General features: G+C 38.8%; 1 protein-coding gene and 1 pseudogene across 10 annotated transcripts in view; both read left to right on the forward strand.

The window, feature by feature from the left end:
- Nucleotides 1-15,921, forward strand: part of DNAH8 (dynein axonemal heavy chain 8) — a 315,482-nt gene that overhangs the window by 47,078 nt on the left and 252,483 nt on the right. For all 10 annotated transcript variants that reach the window (XR_926078.3, NM_001206927.2, XM_011514319.3 and 7 more), the window contains 2 exons: nt 8,025-8,171; nt 13,366-13,563. Coding sequence is in view for 9 of the 10 variants with exons in the window: in NM_001206927.2 (NP_001193856.1) it covers nt 8,025-8,171; nt 13,366-13,563 (345 nt within the window). In the remaining variant the exon portion in view is untranslated. The remainder of the gene's footprint in view (nt 1-8,024; nt 8,172-13,365; nt 13,564-15,921) is intronic.
- DNAJC2P1 (DNAJC2 pseudogene 1) lies at nt 369-1,144 on the forward strand (annotated as a pseudogene).

Below are 15,921 nucleotides of genomic sequence, written 5' to 3' on the forward strand. Positions count from 1 at the left end.
AATTAAACTGTCCTAACGTTTCTGGGTAAACTCAACTTGGTCGTGGTGTAATTATCTTTTTAAAAAACACTCAAATTCAGTTTGCTACAGTTTTGTTTAGGATTTTTGGAAGCTGTATTGGTGAGAGAGAGAACCTGTAATTTTCCTTTCTTATGCTGACCTTGTCTGTGTTTTGGCATCAATGTCTCAGAATAAATGGAGGGTGGGGGGAAGTATTTTCTATTTTCTGAAAAAGTTTGTATAAAATTAAAGTGACCTGTTCATTGAAAGTTTGAAAGAAATGGCCACAGCAGGAAGGCTCCATCTGGAAGTGGTTATTGGTCATCTCTGTGTGCAGGTTCCCTGGTCTTCGTAGTGCCAAGGTGTGTGGCTTGAACAGGGAGGTCAAGTTTGAAAAGTGGCCCAGTGCCCTCCACCCAGGATGGGAACCATTATTCCCACAGGCCTGGTGCTGACCTGCCATCCTGGCCAGGGCACTGCTATCACCCTTGCTCTGACCTCTGAACTGGAGGATAAGAAGAGGAAGAATTGCAGTTAGTGTTTCTCATGCTGAAAACAGTTGATCCCAAGGACTGGAAGAATCAGGATCATTATGCAGTTCTTGGACTTAGCCATGTAAGATACAAAGCTACACAGAGACAGATCAAAGCAGCTCATAAAGTAGTGGTTTTAAAACATCATGGAAAGCAGCCAGTGAACCAATAAAAGAAAGGGATAATGACTACTTCACTTGCATCACTGAAATTATAAAATGTATGACCCAGTGAAAAGAGGAGCATTTAACAGTGTAGATCATACATTTGGAAACTCAGTTCCTTCTAAAAGTGAAGCAAGGGATAGTTTCTTTGAAGTGTTTTTCCCACTATTCGAAAATAATTCCAGATGGTCCAAAAAAAGTTTCTAAACCTGGTGTTATGAATTCATCATTTTATTCCTTCTGGTATAGTTTTTATGCTTGGACAGAGTTTTCTTATTTAAATACAGAAGAAAAAAAAGCAGAATATTGTGACAAGAGAGGGATTGAAAAGAAGAACAGAGCAACAAGAGCTCAAAGAAAGAAAGAAGAAATGAATTGAAAACATTAGTTGATAATACACATAGCTGTGATACAAGGATAAAAAAATTCAAAGAACAGAAAGCCAAGGCCAGGCATAGTGGCTCATGTCTGTGATTCTTGCACTTTGGGAGACCAAGACGGGTGGATCCCTTGAGCCCAGGAGTTCGAGACCAGCCTGGGCAACATGATGAAACCCTGTCTCTACAAAAAACTTAGCCAGGTGTGTTGGTGCGCACCTGTAGTCCCAGCAACTTGGGAGGCTGAGGTAGGATAATTGCTTGAGCCTGGGAGGCTGAGGCTGAGTGAGGTGAGCCGTGATCACACCACTGCACTCCAGCTTGGGTGAGAGCAAGACTCTGTTTCAACATTAAAAAAAGAAGAGAAAGCCGAGAAAGAAGCAAGATGGAAGAAGCGAGAGGCTAAAGAAAAACAAAGACAAGCTGAATTAGAAGCTGCTTGAATAGCTAAGGAGAAAGAAGAGGAAGTTAAATAAGGAGCATTGTTGGCAAAGAAGGGAAAAGATATCCAGAAAAGAGTTGTTAAAAGGAAAAGACAAACCTTCAAAATTCAAGGAAGACCTGAAATCACTTTTTCTGACAATAAGTGGAGCAGCTTAAAAAGGTGGAAGAAGTGGAAAAACTTTGTGATAGGCTTCAACTAGCAAGTTTATAGCACTTCAGTGAAATACCTCATCTACAAAAACACTAGGAATGGCTGCTCTCCTAAAAACGGAAGAAATAAATGAGCCAATTAGAACAGAGAAAGAGGAAGGGGAGGCTTGTGTGTGACAAGCATCTAAGAATGCAGAGAAATCAACTGTCGAAGGTGGAAATGGCAGTAAAAATTGGTCAGAGGAGCATTGGTCTGCAGTTACTAATTAAAGCCATAGGCCCCTTTTCTGCATGAACAAATTCAATATGGGAAGTTATTACCAATTATATGAACACACATTCTTTTTTTGGAGTCAAGAGAACTTTTTGGCAAAGAAAATTGAGCCTCTAAAAACTTGACCCTCACAAAAAAAAGATGACAAAAAAGGCTTTGGATAACCTTTAAAAGAACATGGAATAGTCTCTCAAGTACATGAAGTAGGCCTCCTTCAGATGTACCTGAAGATGAGGAAAAATAGAGGGAGCAGTGCCTGGCAGGACAAAAGAGGACCTCAGGAAACAATATAAGGAAGTTGTTGAGGTGGTAAAGGCAATGAAATGCCCAGGAGCAACTGCTGAATGCAAATGGAGCCGAGAAATGACTTATGGACAGTCTTTGTTGTGTATGCATTTAAAAACTAAAACTGATAATTGGAGATGCTAAGCACCTTTTCAAATGCCTGCTGGCTATTTGTATGTTTTTTTTTTGAGAAATGTCTTTTGAGGTCCTTTGTCCATTTTTTAAATGTTTTTTTTTGAGACGGAGTCTCGCTCTGTTGCCCAGGCTGGAGTGCAGTGGCACAGTCTTGGCTCACTGCAACCTCTGCCTCCCAGGTTCAAGCAATTCTCCGGTTTCAGCCTCCTGAGTAGCTGGGATTACAGATGCCTGCCACCATGCCCAGGTAATTTTTGTATTTTCAGTAGAGACAAGGGTTTCACCATGTTGGCCAGGCTGGTCTTGAACTCCTGACCTCAAGTGATCCTCCTGCCTCAGCCTCCCAAAGTGTTGGGATCACAGGCGTAAGCCACTGCGCCTGGCCTCATTTGCTCATTTTAAAATCAGGTTATTTATTTTCTTCCTATTGAGTTGTTTGAGTTCCTTATATATTTTGGGAATAAACCTCTATTAGATATATGGTTTGCAAATACTGTCTTCCAGTCTAGAGGTTGTCTCTTCACTCTGTTTTCTTTTCTGTGCAAAAGCTTTATAGTTTGATACAATCTCATTTGTTTTTTTTGTTTTTGTTGCCTGTACTTTTGGGGTCACGTCCAAAAAATCATTGCCAAGTAGCTTTTCCCCGACATTTTCCTCTAGTAATTTTACAGTTTCAGGTCTTATCTTTACATGTTTAATCCACTTTAGGTTGACTTTTGTATGTCATATGAAACGATGGTTCAATTTTATTGTTTTGCATGTGGATATCCAGTTTTCCTAAGACCATTTATTGAAGAGACTGCCCTTTCCTCATTGTGTGTTCTTGGCACCTTTGTCAAAGATCAGTTGACCATAATGCATGGATTTATTTCTGGGTTCTCCATTCTGTTTCATTGGTCTATGTGTCTGTTTCTATGCCAGTACTATGCTGTTTTGATTACTATAGCTTGGTAGTATATAAAAATATACTACAGTATAAAATCAGGCAGTGTGATGCCTCCAGCTTTGCAAATTAAAAACCACAATGAAATATCAGCTCACACTTGTTAGAATGCCTACTACAGAAAAAGACAAATGATAGCAAGTGTTGGTGAGGATGTGCATGCTCTTGGTAGGAATGTAAATTAGTGTAGCCATTATGAAACATAGTATAGAGGTTCCCCCCAATATTAAAAATAGAACTACCATATGATCCAGCAATCTCATTTCTGGGTAAATATTTAAAGGAAATGATATAACTGTCTCAAAGAGATATCTGCATTCTTATATTCATTGCAACATTATTCACAATAGCCAAGATGTGGAAACAACCTAAGTGCCTGTTGACAGATGAATGGATAAAGAAAATGGGGTATATAGGGTATGTATGTATATATGTATGTGTTTGTATGTGTGTGTGTGTGTGTTTGTGTATGGATACATATATATAATGGAATATTATTCAGTCTTTACAAAGAAGGAAATATTGTCATTTTTGACAACATGGCTGAACTTTATTTCATTATGCTAAGTGAAATAAGCCAGGCACAAAGACAAATACTGCCTTTTTTCACCTCTATGTGGAATCTAAAAAAGTCAAACTCTTAGAAGTGGAGAGTAGAATGGTGGTTACCAGGGGCTGGAGAGGGATGGCACAATGACGAGATATTGGTGAAAGAGTACAAATTTTCAGTTATGCAGGATGAATAAATTCTGGAGATGTAATGTACTGTATGATGACTATAGTACACAATACTGTTTTGTTTTTGTTTTTTGAGACAAGGTCTGGCTCTGTTGCTCAGGCTGGAGTGCATTGGTGCCATCTCAGCTCAATGCAACCTCCGCCTCCTGGGCTCAAGCCATCCTCCCACCTCAGCCTCCCTAGTCACTGGGACTACAGGCATGCACCATGTATTGTATACTTGACATTTGCTAAGAAAGTAGGTCACACCCCCAACCCCAAAAAGTAATTCACACCCCCCACCCCAAAAAATAACTATGTGAAGTGAGGATGTGCTAATTAGCTTGATTTTGGAACATTTCACAATGTATACATCTTTCAAAACATCATGTTGTATACCTTAAATATATATAATTTTTATTTGTCAATTATACCTCAATAAAACTGGAAAAAAATAAAACTGGAAATACTGAACAAAAAGCAAGTCTGATAGAAATCATCTGTTAAGCATCTAGGATCGACATTTTCTTTGTGAAAAGATTTTTAATTTCCTGCTTCTCTTTTTGTATAATTAAAAATTTTTAATTATGATAAAAATAGCATAAAATTTACTATTTTAACCATACAGTTCAGTGGCATTAACTACATTCACAGTGTTTTGCAACCATCACTGCTATCCATTTCAGAACTTTTTCATCATTCTAAACTGAAACTCTGTAGCCATTAAATAATTCCCCAAACTCAGGCCAGACGCGGTGGCTCACGCCTGTAATCCCAGCACTTTGGGAGGCTGAGGCGGGCAGATCACCTGAGGTTAGGAGTTCAAGACCAGCCTGGCCAACATGGTGAAACACCGTCTCTACTAAAAATACAAAAATTAGCTGGGTGTGGTGGCAGGCTCCTGTAGTCCCAGCTACTCAGGAGGCTGAGGCAGGAGAATCACTTGAACCTGGGAGGCGTAGATTGCAGTGAGCCGAGATGGCACCATTGCACTCCAGCCTGGGCAACAAGAACAAAACTCCATCTCAGGAAAAAAAAAAAAATTCCCCAAACTCTCTGCCCTAGCCCCTAGTAACTTGTATTTACTGTCTCTCTTTATGAATTTGCCTATTCTAGGTACCTCAAATAAGTGGAATTAAACAATATTTGTTCTTTTGTGTCTGGTTTATTTCACTTTGTGCAATATTTTCATCTACGTTCTAGCATGTATCAGAATTTGATTCCCTTTATAGCTGAGTAATATATTCCATTGTATGTATAGTCCATATATTTTTATCCATTCCTCTGCTGATGCACATTTGGTTTGTTACTACCTTTTGGCTATTGTGAATAATGCGGCTATGAACATTTGGTGTGTAAGTATCTGTTTGAGTCCCTGCTTTCAATTCTGCTGGGTGTATTCCTAGAAGGGAAATTGTTGGGTCTTATGGTAATTCTATGTTTAACTTTTTGAGTTCCTGCCAAACAATTTTCCACAGTGGCTGCACCATTTTACATTTCCACCAGCAATGCAGGAGGGTTCCAATTTCTTCATCTCCTTGCCAACACTTTTTATTTTCTATTATTTTGATAAGAGCCATTCTAATGTGTATGGAGTGAAGTGACATCTCATTGTTGTTTTGATTTGCTTTCCCTAGTGGCTAGTGATGGCTGAGCATCTTTTCATATGCTTATTGGCCCTTTGTATATCTTTGGAGAAATATTTACTCAGGCCCTTTCTCCATTTTTGAATTGGGTTGTTTGGGTTTTTTGTTGTTGTTGTTGTTGAGTTGTAGGATTTCTTTATATATTCTGGATATTAATTCCTTATCATATATATGCTTTGCAAATACACTATTGCTTATTTGTCTATTTATTTATTTTGCTTGTTCGTTTTGAGACAAAGCCTCACTCTGTCACCCAGGCTGGAGTGCAGTAGCCTGATCAAGTTCACTGCCTCCTTGACCTCCTGGGCTCAAGGGCTCCTCCTACCTCTGCCTCCTAAGTAGCTGGGACCATGGGTGCATGCCATCATGCTTGGGTAATTTTTTTATTTTTGTAGAGACAAGGTTTTGCTATGTTGCCCAGGTGGTCTCAAACTCCTGAGCTTAAGCCATCATCTGCCTTGGCCTCCCAAAGTGCTGGGATTACAGGCATGAGCCACCACACCCGGCCTGTTTATTAAAAAAAAAACTATTTGACTATACTTTCTGTTTCTTCTTGAGTCAGTTTTAGTAAGTTGATATTCTTGGGGAATTTCCCCAATTTGTCTAAAATTTGTAATTTATTGACTTATTGTTGATAATATTATCTTACTAAACTTTGTCTTACTATATAAGATGTCTCCTTATTTACTAATATTATTTATCTTCTTTCTGTTTTCCTAATCATTCTTGCTCCCCTCATACCCAGATTCAAAACAACTTATCATCTTCCTAGGAGTTTCTCATTTCTGTTGTTTTTATTGCTACTTGCAGGATTCCATGTTTTCCTCTAGAGCTTCTCTTGTTATTTTTGGGAATAGGAGTCAGAAATTACTCCCCCCAAATTTGCCAATTGGCAGGAACCATAACTCTTTACATAGAATTTAGCAATGTAGTCTCATTATTCTTTTAAGGTCCTAAAGATTACTAGCCATTTACTGACTGAATTAGAAATGGGAACTTGGTTTTCTGAATTCTAGTTCAATGTTTCTATTACATCTGAAATGTTTTCAGGAAACTTTCAGTGTATACTTTTTAGGAATAATTTTTGGATGAGTTGGAGGAAACAATGAGAATTGTTACTCAGAATCTTATCTGAGAACTGTTATTCAGAGCCAACTCATTTAAAAAAATTTTTTTATTATACTTTAAGTTCTGGGATACATGTGCAGAATGTGCAGGTTTGTTACATAGGTATACACGTGCCATGGTGGTTTGCTGCACCTGCCAACCCGTCATCTACATTAGGTATTTCTTCTAATGCTATCCCTCCCCTAGCCTCCCAAGCCAGCTCATTTTTGTTGAATGAGTGAAAAATAATCAGAGACCTCAAAGAGAGCAATGATAATTGTTTTGGAGATTGTGATAGAGGAAAGAATGAGGCCAATTATTCTCAGATCTGAATATTTATAGGAATCACTATAGGAGAGCTAGTTAAAAATATAGATTTCTAAGTCCCACTTGCAGAAATTCTGATTTAGTGGCTGCAGTGGGCAGAATAACGGCCCCCAAAGATGTCTGTGTGCTTATCCTCAGAACCTATCCATAGGTTATGTTACATATGGCAAGGGGTGATTAAGGTTGCAGATGGAATTAAAGTGCTGATCAGCTGATATGGGGATTACCCAAGTGGGCCCAATGTTTAAGGGTTCTTATGTGGGCAAGAGGAGGCAGAAGAGTCAGAATCTGAGAAATGGTGTTATGATAAAGATTTGACTGGGTATTGATGGTTTCAAAAAAGTTTAACATTAACAAAAAAGATTTGGTGTTTAGGAAATGTTAGCTTGACATAATAGTTAATTCCTACTCTACCCAGCAATCTTATTCTCTTTTTTATTTCTATTATGTTCACAAACCAGACCAGTATATCTGTAGTCAAATATTAGGATTTCAGCAATGTACTCATCAAAGACTTTATGACCCTCTTTTGGAAAAATGATTGTCAGATGATAGCTTCGTATGACAGAAACTTCATATTTTATATACCTGCGCATAAAGAATGCTGATTCTAAGATGGATGCGAACTGAATAGAGATGTCTTGATAGATAATTTCTGGACCTCTTGGGAGTTCTAATTGTCATGAAAATGTAAAAACAAATAGTATATGGTATGCTTTGATGTAGGATAAGAGTTAAAGGAAAACAATGAGGATGAATAAAAGTGAGGTTGAAATGAGGATGAAAATATGGTATAAATAAAAAAAAACTATACAGATTTTCACAGTTTGATCAGTTCTGTGTGAGGGTAGAGTTTTTGAATTTTCGATTCCTGAACAAATGTCTCACTTTCTTTTCCCTATTTCTTTTACTTTTCTCATAGGACTGCATTTTTCTATTCAAGGAATATCAGGCATCTTTTCATAAAACAAGGAAACTGATTTCAGAATCCTCAGGGGAAAAATCTTTTGAGGTTTCAGAAATGTATATATTTGGAAAATTTGAAGCTTTTTGCAAAAGACTGGAGAAGGTAAGCATTATGCAGTCATCGTACCCCACTCCACACCACACCTTTTTGGTGATTTTGTACTTTATGTAGTGCCATTGAGAATTATTGTTCCTGATCTCTTGTCCACTATTGTTATGACTTGTCTAATATTACTTATAGGTCACTGCATTTTATTATAACTTATTTTTTCATTCCTGGTTACTGCCTTCTGCCAGTAACACAAACGCTATGGTCAACTTTCACATCTCTCAAGACCTCAGTTTACCTCTACCTATGAAACTTCAACTTAAAAGGCTCTGCTTTTAACTGTTATATTAGGCTGAGAAAAAGTATGAGATGAAATACCTGCAATGCCTGATAGAAGTCAGTAGTTGTGGAATCTCCGGATGTATAAGCATGTCCTCTTTCTGAGCCAGTGTATATGGTGTATACAAAAACATTGTGCGGGTGATATCTTTTCTGGACAGACATAGGTTTGATTAATTTATTAGGACTGGTTGGGAAGGAGTGACATTTTTTTGGGGGATATAGGCCAGCCCATATCAGAGACTTCTTGGAGTCATCCTTTGAAAAGTCTGTAAAGATCTCATTTAGGTATTCTTCCCCCAACTTCGCTAATTCCCTGGATCCTGCTAGTATTTAGAATCTTGTTCATCATTTGTTGGAAAGTAATGCGGAACATTACATAGGTTGAAGACCTAGACATGTTTGGAAGCCTATTTTTATTAGTAACTTCCTGATCAAGCCAGGACAGGAAAGTATGAGTAATGAACAGAACCAAGTTGCTGAGTGGGATCCTTCATACATACTTCTTTGAAGCTGTTTTTTAAATTTGTTTCTTTAACAGCTTTATTGAGACATAATTAATATACTATTTACCCACTTACAACTGTACAAGTCAATGTTTTCTAGTGTATTAACAGGGTTGTGCAATCATTACCACAATCTAATTTTAGAACATTTTCACTCCCACTAAAAGAAACCTTATGTCCATTATCAGTCACACCCCATTCTCTCCTCTCCCCAGTTTTAAGCAACCACTAATCTACTTTCTGTCTCTATAGATGTACCTCTTCTGGACACTTTATATAAATGAAATCATACAATATGTGGTCTTTTGTGGCTACTTTCACTTAGCATAATGTTTTCAAAGCTCATCTATATTATACCATTTTTCAGAACTTCATTCCATTCATCATTGAAGAATATTCCATTGTACGGATAATATCAGTTTATTTTTCTACTCATCAGTTGATGAACATTGGGATTATTTCCTCTTTTTGGCTATTATGAATAATGTTGCTATGAACATTTGTGTACAAGAGTTTGTGTGGGCATATGTTGTCATTTCTCTTGGGTATATGTGCAGAAGTAGAATTGCTAGGTCATATGGCAAATCCATGTTTAACTTTTTGTTGATAACCCCAACTATTTGCCAAAGTAGCTGCATCATTTTGCATTCTAACAGCAAAGTATGAGGTTTATGATTTCTTTTTTTTTTTTTTTTTGAGACGGAGTTTTGCTCTTTCGCCCAGGCCAGAGTGCAGTGGCGTGATCTCGGCTCACTGCAAGCTCCACCTCCCGGGTTCACGACATTCTCCTGCCTCAGCCTCCCGAGTAGCTGGGACTACAGGTGCCCGCCACTACGCCCGGCTAATTTTTTGTATTTTTAGTAGAGACAGGGTTTCACCGTGTTAACCAGGATGGTCTCGATCCTCTGACCTTGTGATCCACCCACCTCGACCTCCCAAAGTGCTGGGATTACAGGCATGAGCCACCACGCCCAGCTGAGGTTTATGATTTCTTCATATCCTTGCCAACATTTGTTATTATCTGTCCTTTTGAATTTAGCCATTCTACTGGGTATGAAGTGGTATCTCATTGAAGTTTTGATTTGCATTTCCCTGAGGGCTAATGATGTGGAGCATATTTTGATGTACTTTTGCCCATTTGTATATCTTCTTTTAAAAAACATCTATTCAGATTCTTTGCATATATTTAACTGAGTTATTTGTCTTTTTATTGTTGAGTTGTAGGAGTTCTTTATATATGCTGGGTATAACTTCCTTATCAGATATATGATTTACACGTATTTTCTCTTATTTTTGGGTTATCTTTTCACTTTCTTGATGGTGTCCTTTGAAGTACGATAGTTTTTAATTTTAATGAAGTTCAATTTATCATGTTTTTCTTTTGTTTTCTTTGTGTTTTTAATGTCATATCTAAGGAAGTGTTGTGTGGGGCTGTTTTATGCACAATAGATTTTTTTAAACATTTTTATTTATTAAATTAAAAAAATTGAGATGGGGTCCTGTTTGTGTTACTCAGGCTGGAGTGCAGTGGCATGATCATAGCTCACTTCAGCCTTGAACTCCTCAGCCTTCTGAGTAGCTGGGACTACAAGCATATACCACCATGCCTAGCTAATTAAACTTTTTTTTTTTTTTTTTTTTTTTTTTTGTAGAGATGGGGTCTTGCTATGTTGATGAGCTGGTCTTGAACTCCTGGCCTCAAGCAGTCCTCCTTCCTCAGCCTCCCAAAGTGCTGGAATTATAGGCATGAGCCACTGTGCTCAGCCAATAGGGATTTTTTTGGGGGCAAATGTTCAGTTAGGCTACTAGCACAAGTCAAATTAATAAATAGGTCTCATTGGTCAGGACAAAGATGCTTAATGTTCTGACTCCACTAGAGCAAAAACCTGGAGGTGGGTCTCAGTTACCCCTACCCCTATTTTCCTGGAGCCAGAACCCTTGCCCACCTGGGTGTCGCTTTGAAATTTGTAGTTTCAGGACTAAACCTTATTAGTGGTAAAGATCTTTGGGGGTGGGTCTAATGCTGAGTAGAATGGTCATCCATCTGTGAAATAGCAGCCCAGGAATTCCTCTGATGCTAGAGGAAGTGGTCTGTAATGACCAGCTGCATCAGCTGCACCCACTCTGGTCTCTGGAGAAGCCCTGCCTCTAGTTTGAAGAATACAACTTCAAGCCACAAGTGCTCAGCAACCAGAGCTAAGGTAGCACCCCCTAGAGGCCTTACCTGAAATGCATCCTGATTGCTAGGTTATCCCAGCTCCTCTGTGCTAAGAACGACAGACCGGCATCTTTCCCATTGGATAATTGGTGGATATTGGTGTCCAGACTCTCAAAGGTGGGGCTGGCGAACTTAACCCTGAAGTATGTCCAGGATTTTACATAATCCACAAGAGGTGGTTACTGAGCTGCCCAGGTGGGCTTCCTCTGATGAGTGGGGTACGGAAGGGGCAACTGTTTGACTACCCTTGTGAACTCTTGCATAGATGAAGAGGAGAGCCACAAGTGTGCACTAAGAGCCTATTAGGGAAGGCCGAGATTCGAAGTTGGAATGACCAAGTGGCAAAGTCGAAGGGCAGACAAGACTGATGTTGGGGTTGGAGAGCTGAGATTTCAGAGTTAGACAGATATGTTGGGGCCCTTCGAGGAGTAAGTGAAGAAGGCTCTAGTGTGTCAGTGTTAGGATGCCTGAAACACATCTTTTTATGGCAGGTATAGACTTGATGGTGCACTGAATCCTAAATAGCAAGAACGAAATGTGTGCAACAGTCTTTGCTTCTTCCTCTTCCTGCCATGTAAATTTTGGTGAATATTGGTGTTTCCCAGAGCTCTATCTTCAGTTTTGTTTTCTTCTCACCCTGAACATTTGTGGGAGAGAAGAGAAAAGGTGGAGAGCTGGTATTGCTGGGGGAGATTTGAGGATCTGGAGCTAGTAGGTGAGGTAGGGTCTCCACTCATGGTGATGCTGAGATGAGGGAATCACAGCAAGTCGAGAACTGGAAAGGGTGCAAGGTTGGTGAGCCGGAGGAGAGACTCTGCATTGGTGGTGAGTACTGAGAGATTGAACATTGATAGAGAGATGTTGAAAAAGCCAGGGCCAGGACAAACTAGCAGGAGCATGGTCTTGGTTGATTCCCACAGCTGGCTTTATGTTGCTCTGTGTGGTATGGGGACAGAGGGTACACTGGCTAAGTTTGAAGGGCAAGCATGGGACTGACCACCATGTCTGCCTCAGATGACCCCTCATCCAACCAATCAACAAAATAGAGGACATGTTAGTGACAGGAATTTTGTCCTAGTCTCTGGCTGTTGGAGCCAGGTGGTAGAGTAATGAGGTAAGGGGTAAAGGAAACAGTCTTAGCAGGTTAGAATAACAGAGCAAGCCAGTAGTAGTTTGCTTTTGCTCTTTAAAGTAGGTGAGTGGAGTATATGTGTTAGGAGGAGACCCAGATAGTTCCTGTGTTTATATAGAGCATGCGCAGCATGCTGTAAATCCCAGTGGCCTGTATTTCCTCCATGTTTGGAGTGGCTTCTAGGATGATAATGGTTTTTGGAAGTGTATGGAAATAGTGGAGTAAGAGCAACAGTTGCTTTGAAAATAGTCCTTCTGGGTGGCCATACACAGGGATTCATATGAATTCTGCTGGCTATGTAGGAGGATCAGTGGTGGTGTCTTCATGGTGTGTGTGGTATTTGGAAGATTCTCTGAAAATAGGTTTATTCCCTTTCTGGCCATTGGACCAGCCCTGGAGAGCATTGAGCATTGTTCTCTAAAGCAGAAGTCAAAATGGGGAAGCGTAAGGAAGGAGTAGCCTGTGGACATGAATTTTTTGTTTGTTTGTTTTGGTGAAGTAGGTGGTGTCAGGTTGAGACAAAGACAGCCATTTCTGAAATGAAGTCCACTGTGAGGGTTTCCCAGGTCTCATCAGGGGTCAGGAATGATTGCTGCCATTATTCAAGCTTCTTGGACCAGTCTTTTACCAGAACACAGGCGGATATGTGCTAATGTTAATTGTCAGAACTATAGTGAGGGCCAAACAGCATGGTGGAGCTTTTGAGTCCAGTAATCCAGTGAAATGATTTTCAGAAAATCCTCAAGAGACCACAGGATGAAGCTATTTAGTCAAGCTCCCCGCCACCCTTGAAAGACAAGCTGATTGAACTCTGAAAAAGGTTGTGAACTCTCTCTGGATATGATAGAACATCTTCTGTCTTAGTCTAAGAGTAAGAATGACGGGTGACAGAGATTTGTCTTCTGTTTTATCTCCTCTGGTTGGTTTTAGCGAAATTATTCTAGGCCCTGTTTAATGGTTTGTGTTTTATATCAATGATTCATTAAGAGCTTATTTTAGGGAAGTTGCCTGCTATCTCATTTAAAAAAGCAAAATAACATTTCTCTTTTTAAGATTACAGAAATGATAACTGTTGTGCAAACATATTCAACCTTGAGTAATTCTACCATAGAAGGAATAGATATTATGGCAATAAAATTCAGAAATATATACCAAGGGGTTAAGAAAAAGCAATATGACATTCTGGATCCAAGAAGGACAGAATTTGACACAGATTTCTTAGATTTCATGACAAAAATCAATGGTTTAGAGGTAAGTAATTATACCTACTTTTACTTAGTAAAGCTGAAAAGTAGTCAGTAGTACTATCTGGTACTTTTTGTAAATATTCACATGTAGTAAGTGTTTCTATATTTATGATTTAAGTTCCTCTTTCACATTGACCAAACATATTTGCAGTGTGAGTAACTTTTAAACTACTCCACTAAAGGATTTTTTTTTGAATGAATAGTGAGCATATCCAATAAAAGACATCAGAGAGTAACTAGAAGCCCAAAGGGCTTTTATAGCTAGGATTCTTTTTTTTTTTTTTTTGTGAGATGGAGTCTCACTCCATTGCCCGGGCTAGAGTGCAGTGGAGCGATCTTGGTTCACTGCAACCTCCACCTCCCGAGTTCAAGTGATTCTCCTGCCCCAGCCTCCCAAGTAACTGGGATTACAGGTGTGTGCCACCACGCCTGGTTAATTTTTGTATTTTTAGTAGAGACAGGGTTTCGCCATGTTGGCCAGGCTGGTCTTGAACTCCTGACTTCAGGTGATTCACCCACCTCGGCCTCCCAAAGTGCTGAGATTACAGGCATGAGCCACTGCACCCAGCCTCATTTTTAATATACATTAAAATTTGTATTTGCTTCTTGTGCCTAGGAGCACAAGAGAGCATTTGTAAACATTATTCTTTATCAAGTGTGATGAGATTTGAGAACAGATTAGGAAGATGGATCACTCTTCCTGTGGCCTTATGCTTTATGCCTGCATTCTCTCTGCAGCTATAGAGGGCAGCTCTGAAGAGGCATTCATATCCTGTGTGTCATAGATTAAGAGACACCAGATGGATGAAGGGTAGTCAGAAAGTATGTCAGATGAGACTGTAAGATGTTTTTCTCTCACCTTTTGGGCTATATGACCTCAGTTACTCTCTACTGTTAACTGAAACTACTGTTAACCTACGTTTAGCCCAAGGGAATGGTTTCCTCTTGCTGCAGAATTTCCTGGAGACACAAGCAGGGAGAAGAATATACTTTGTACACTTTTTAAGTCTGATATCCTTGCCATGAAAGTGAGAAAAATCAGATGTTTTTCTCAAGTATTTAAAAAATTCTTTAAAAACTACATTACACGTAACCTGGGCAATATAAATACATAAGAAAGATCCTAAAATTCTACCATTCTAACGATAACACTTTTTGTGTTTTGGCATAGATTTCCTTTCAGTTTTTGAAACTTAGACTCTTTGATATGAAGATATATTATATTTTAATTATTACTTTTAGTGTTTGGCTGGTTAGGTAGGGTGGAGTTTACTTCCAAAATGCTTCGAAAGTTAAATCTTTATGGCAATGGGAATTTTTGAAAAACTTGTTATCTCTTAAATTATTTTTATGATTTATTAAGAAAGATTATATGTTATAAAGGCTTTATTGTGGACTTAGATTCAAATTTTAGCTTTCAGTAAATTACAGCAATATTAACCTTTTAATAGTTAAATAATTTACTTGAGGCATCAGTGTTTTAATTTTAATTTTTCTTCGTTTTCCAATGTTTGATTTATGGGTGTGGTATATATTAATAGACCATACCAATATGATCTATACATACAAATAATTTGCAAAGAATGGTTCAGTTCCATCTTTTGGGTACCGGGAGTTTGGAGTTCACTGTTAGGGATGGTGGGAATATTTATTTATTTTTATTTTTATAGAGACGGGTTCTTGCTATGTTGCCCAAGCTGGTCTTGAACTGCTGTCCTCAAGCTATCCTCCCATCTCCCCCCACAAAAGGCTGAGATTACAGGCATGAGCCACCACTCTGGGCCAATGGTGGGACTCTTGAAAGAACATTTTCTACTTCTTGTACGTCCTTAGCAGTGGCAAAGAGGTTTCTGAGAGCAGCAATGTCAGAAAATGACATCTGCTGGCCCTGGTGTCTATAGCGTCACTACACTACTCTACCTGAAGTTCTATATATCCCAAAGAAAAATGCTTGTAAGGGACCTTCACTCCTTTTGTAAATTCTCTAGATCAGAAATATCCAATTGGTAATGACCTGCAAAGGCAAACCACATGTCACTTTAATTTTTCTAGTAGCCATTGAATAAAAGTAAAAAGAAGCAGGTGAAATTAATTTTAATAAAGACTCTATTCAACCCAATATGTTAAATATTTTAATGTCATTAATATGAAATCTTTAATGAGATATATTGCATTCTCTTTTTTGTACTAAGTCTTTGAAATCTGGCATGTATTTTACATTTATAGACATCTTGCTTCTAAGTAGTGACATTTCAAGTGCTCAGTAGCCACATGTGGCCAAAGTCCATCATACTGGACGATGCAGTTCTTGATGCTTAGATGGTAGATGTGTTTGAGGCTTGAGGCTATCTTAATTCTGTAG

The sequence above is a fragment of the Homo sapiens genome, chromosome 6, assembly GCF_000001405.40.
Source record: "Homo sapiens chromosome 6, GRCh38.p14 Primary Assembly".
In the NCBI taxonomy this organism is placed as follows: Eukaryota; Metazoa; Chordata; class Mammalia; order Primates; family Hominidae; genus Homo; species Homo sapiens.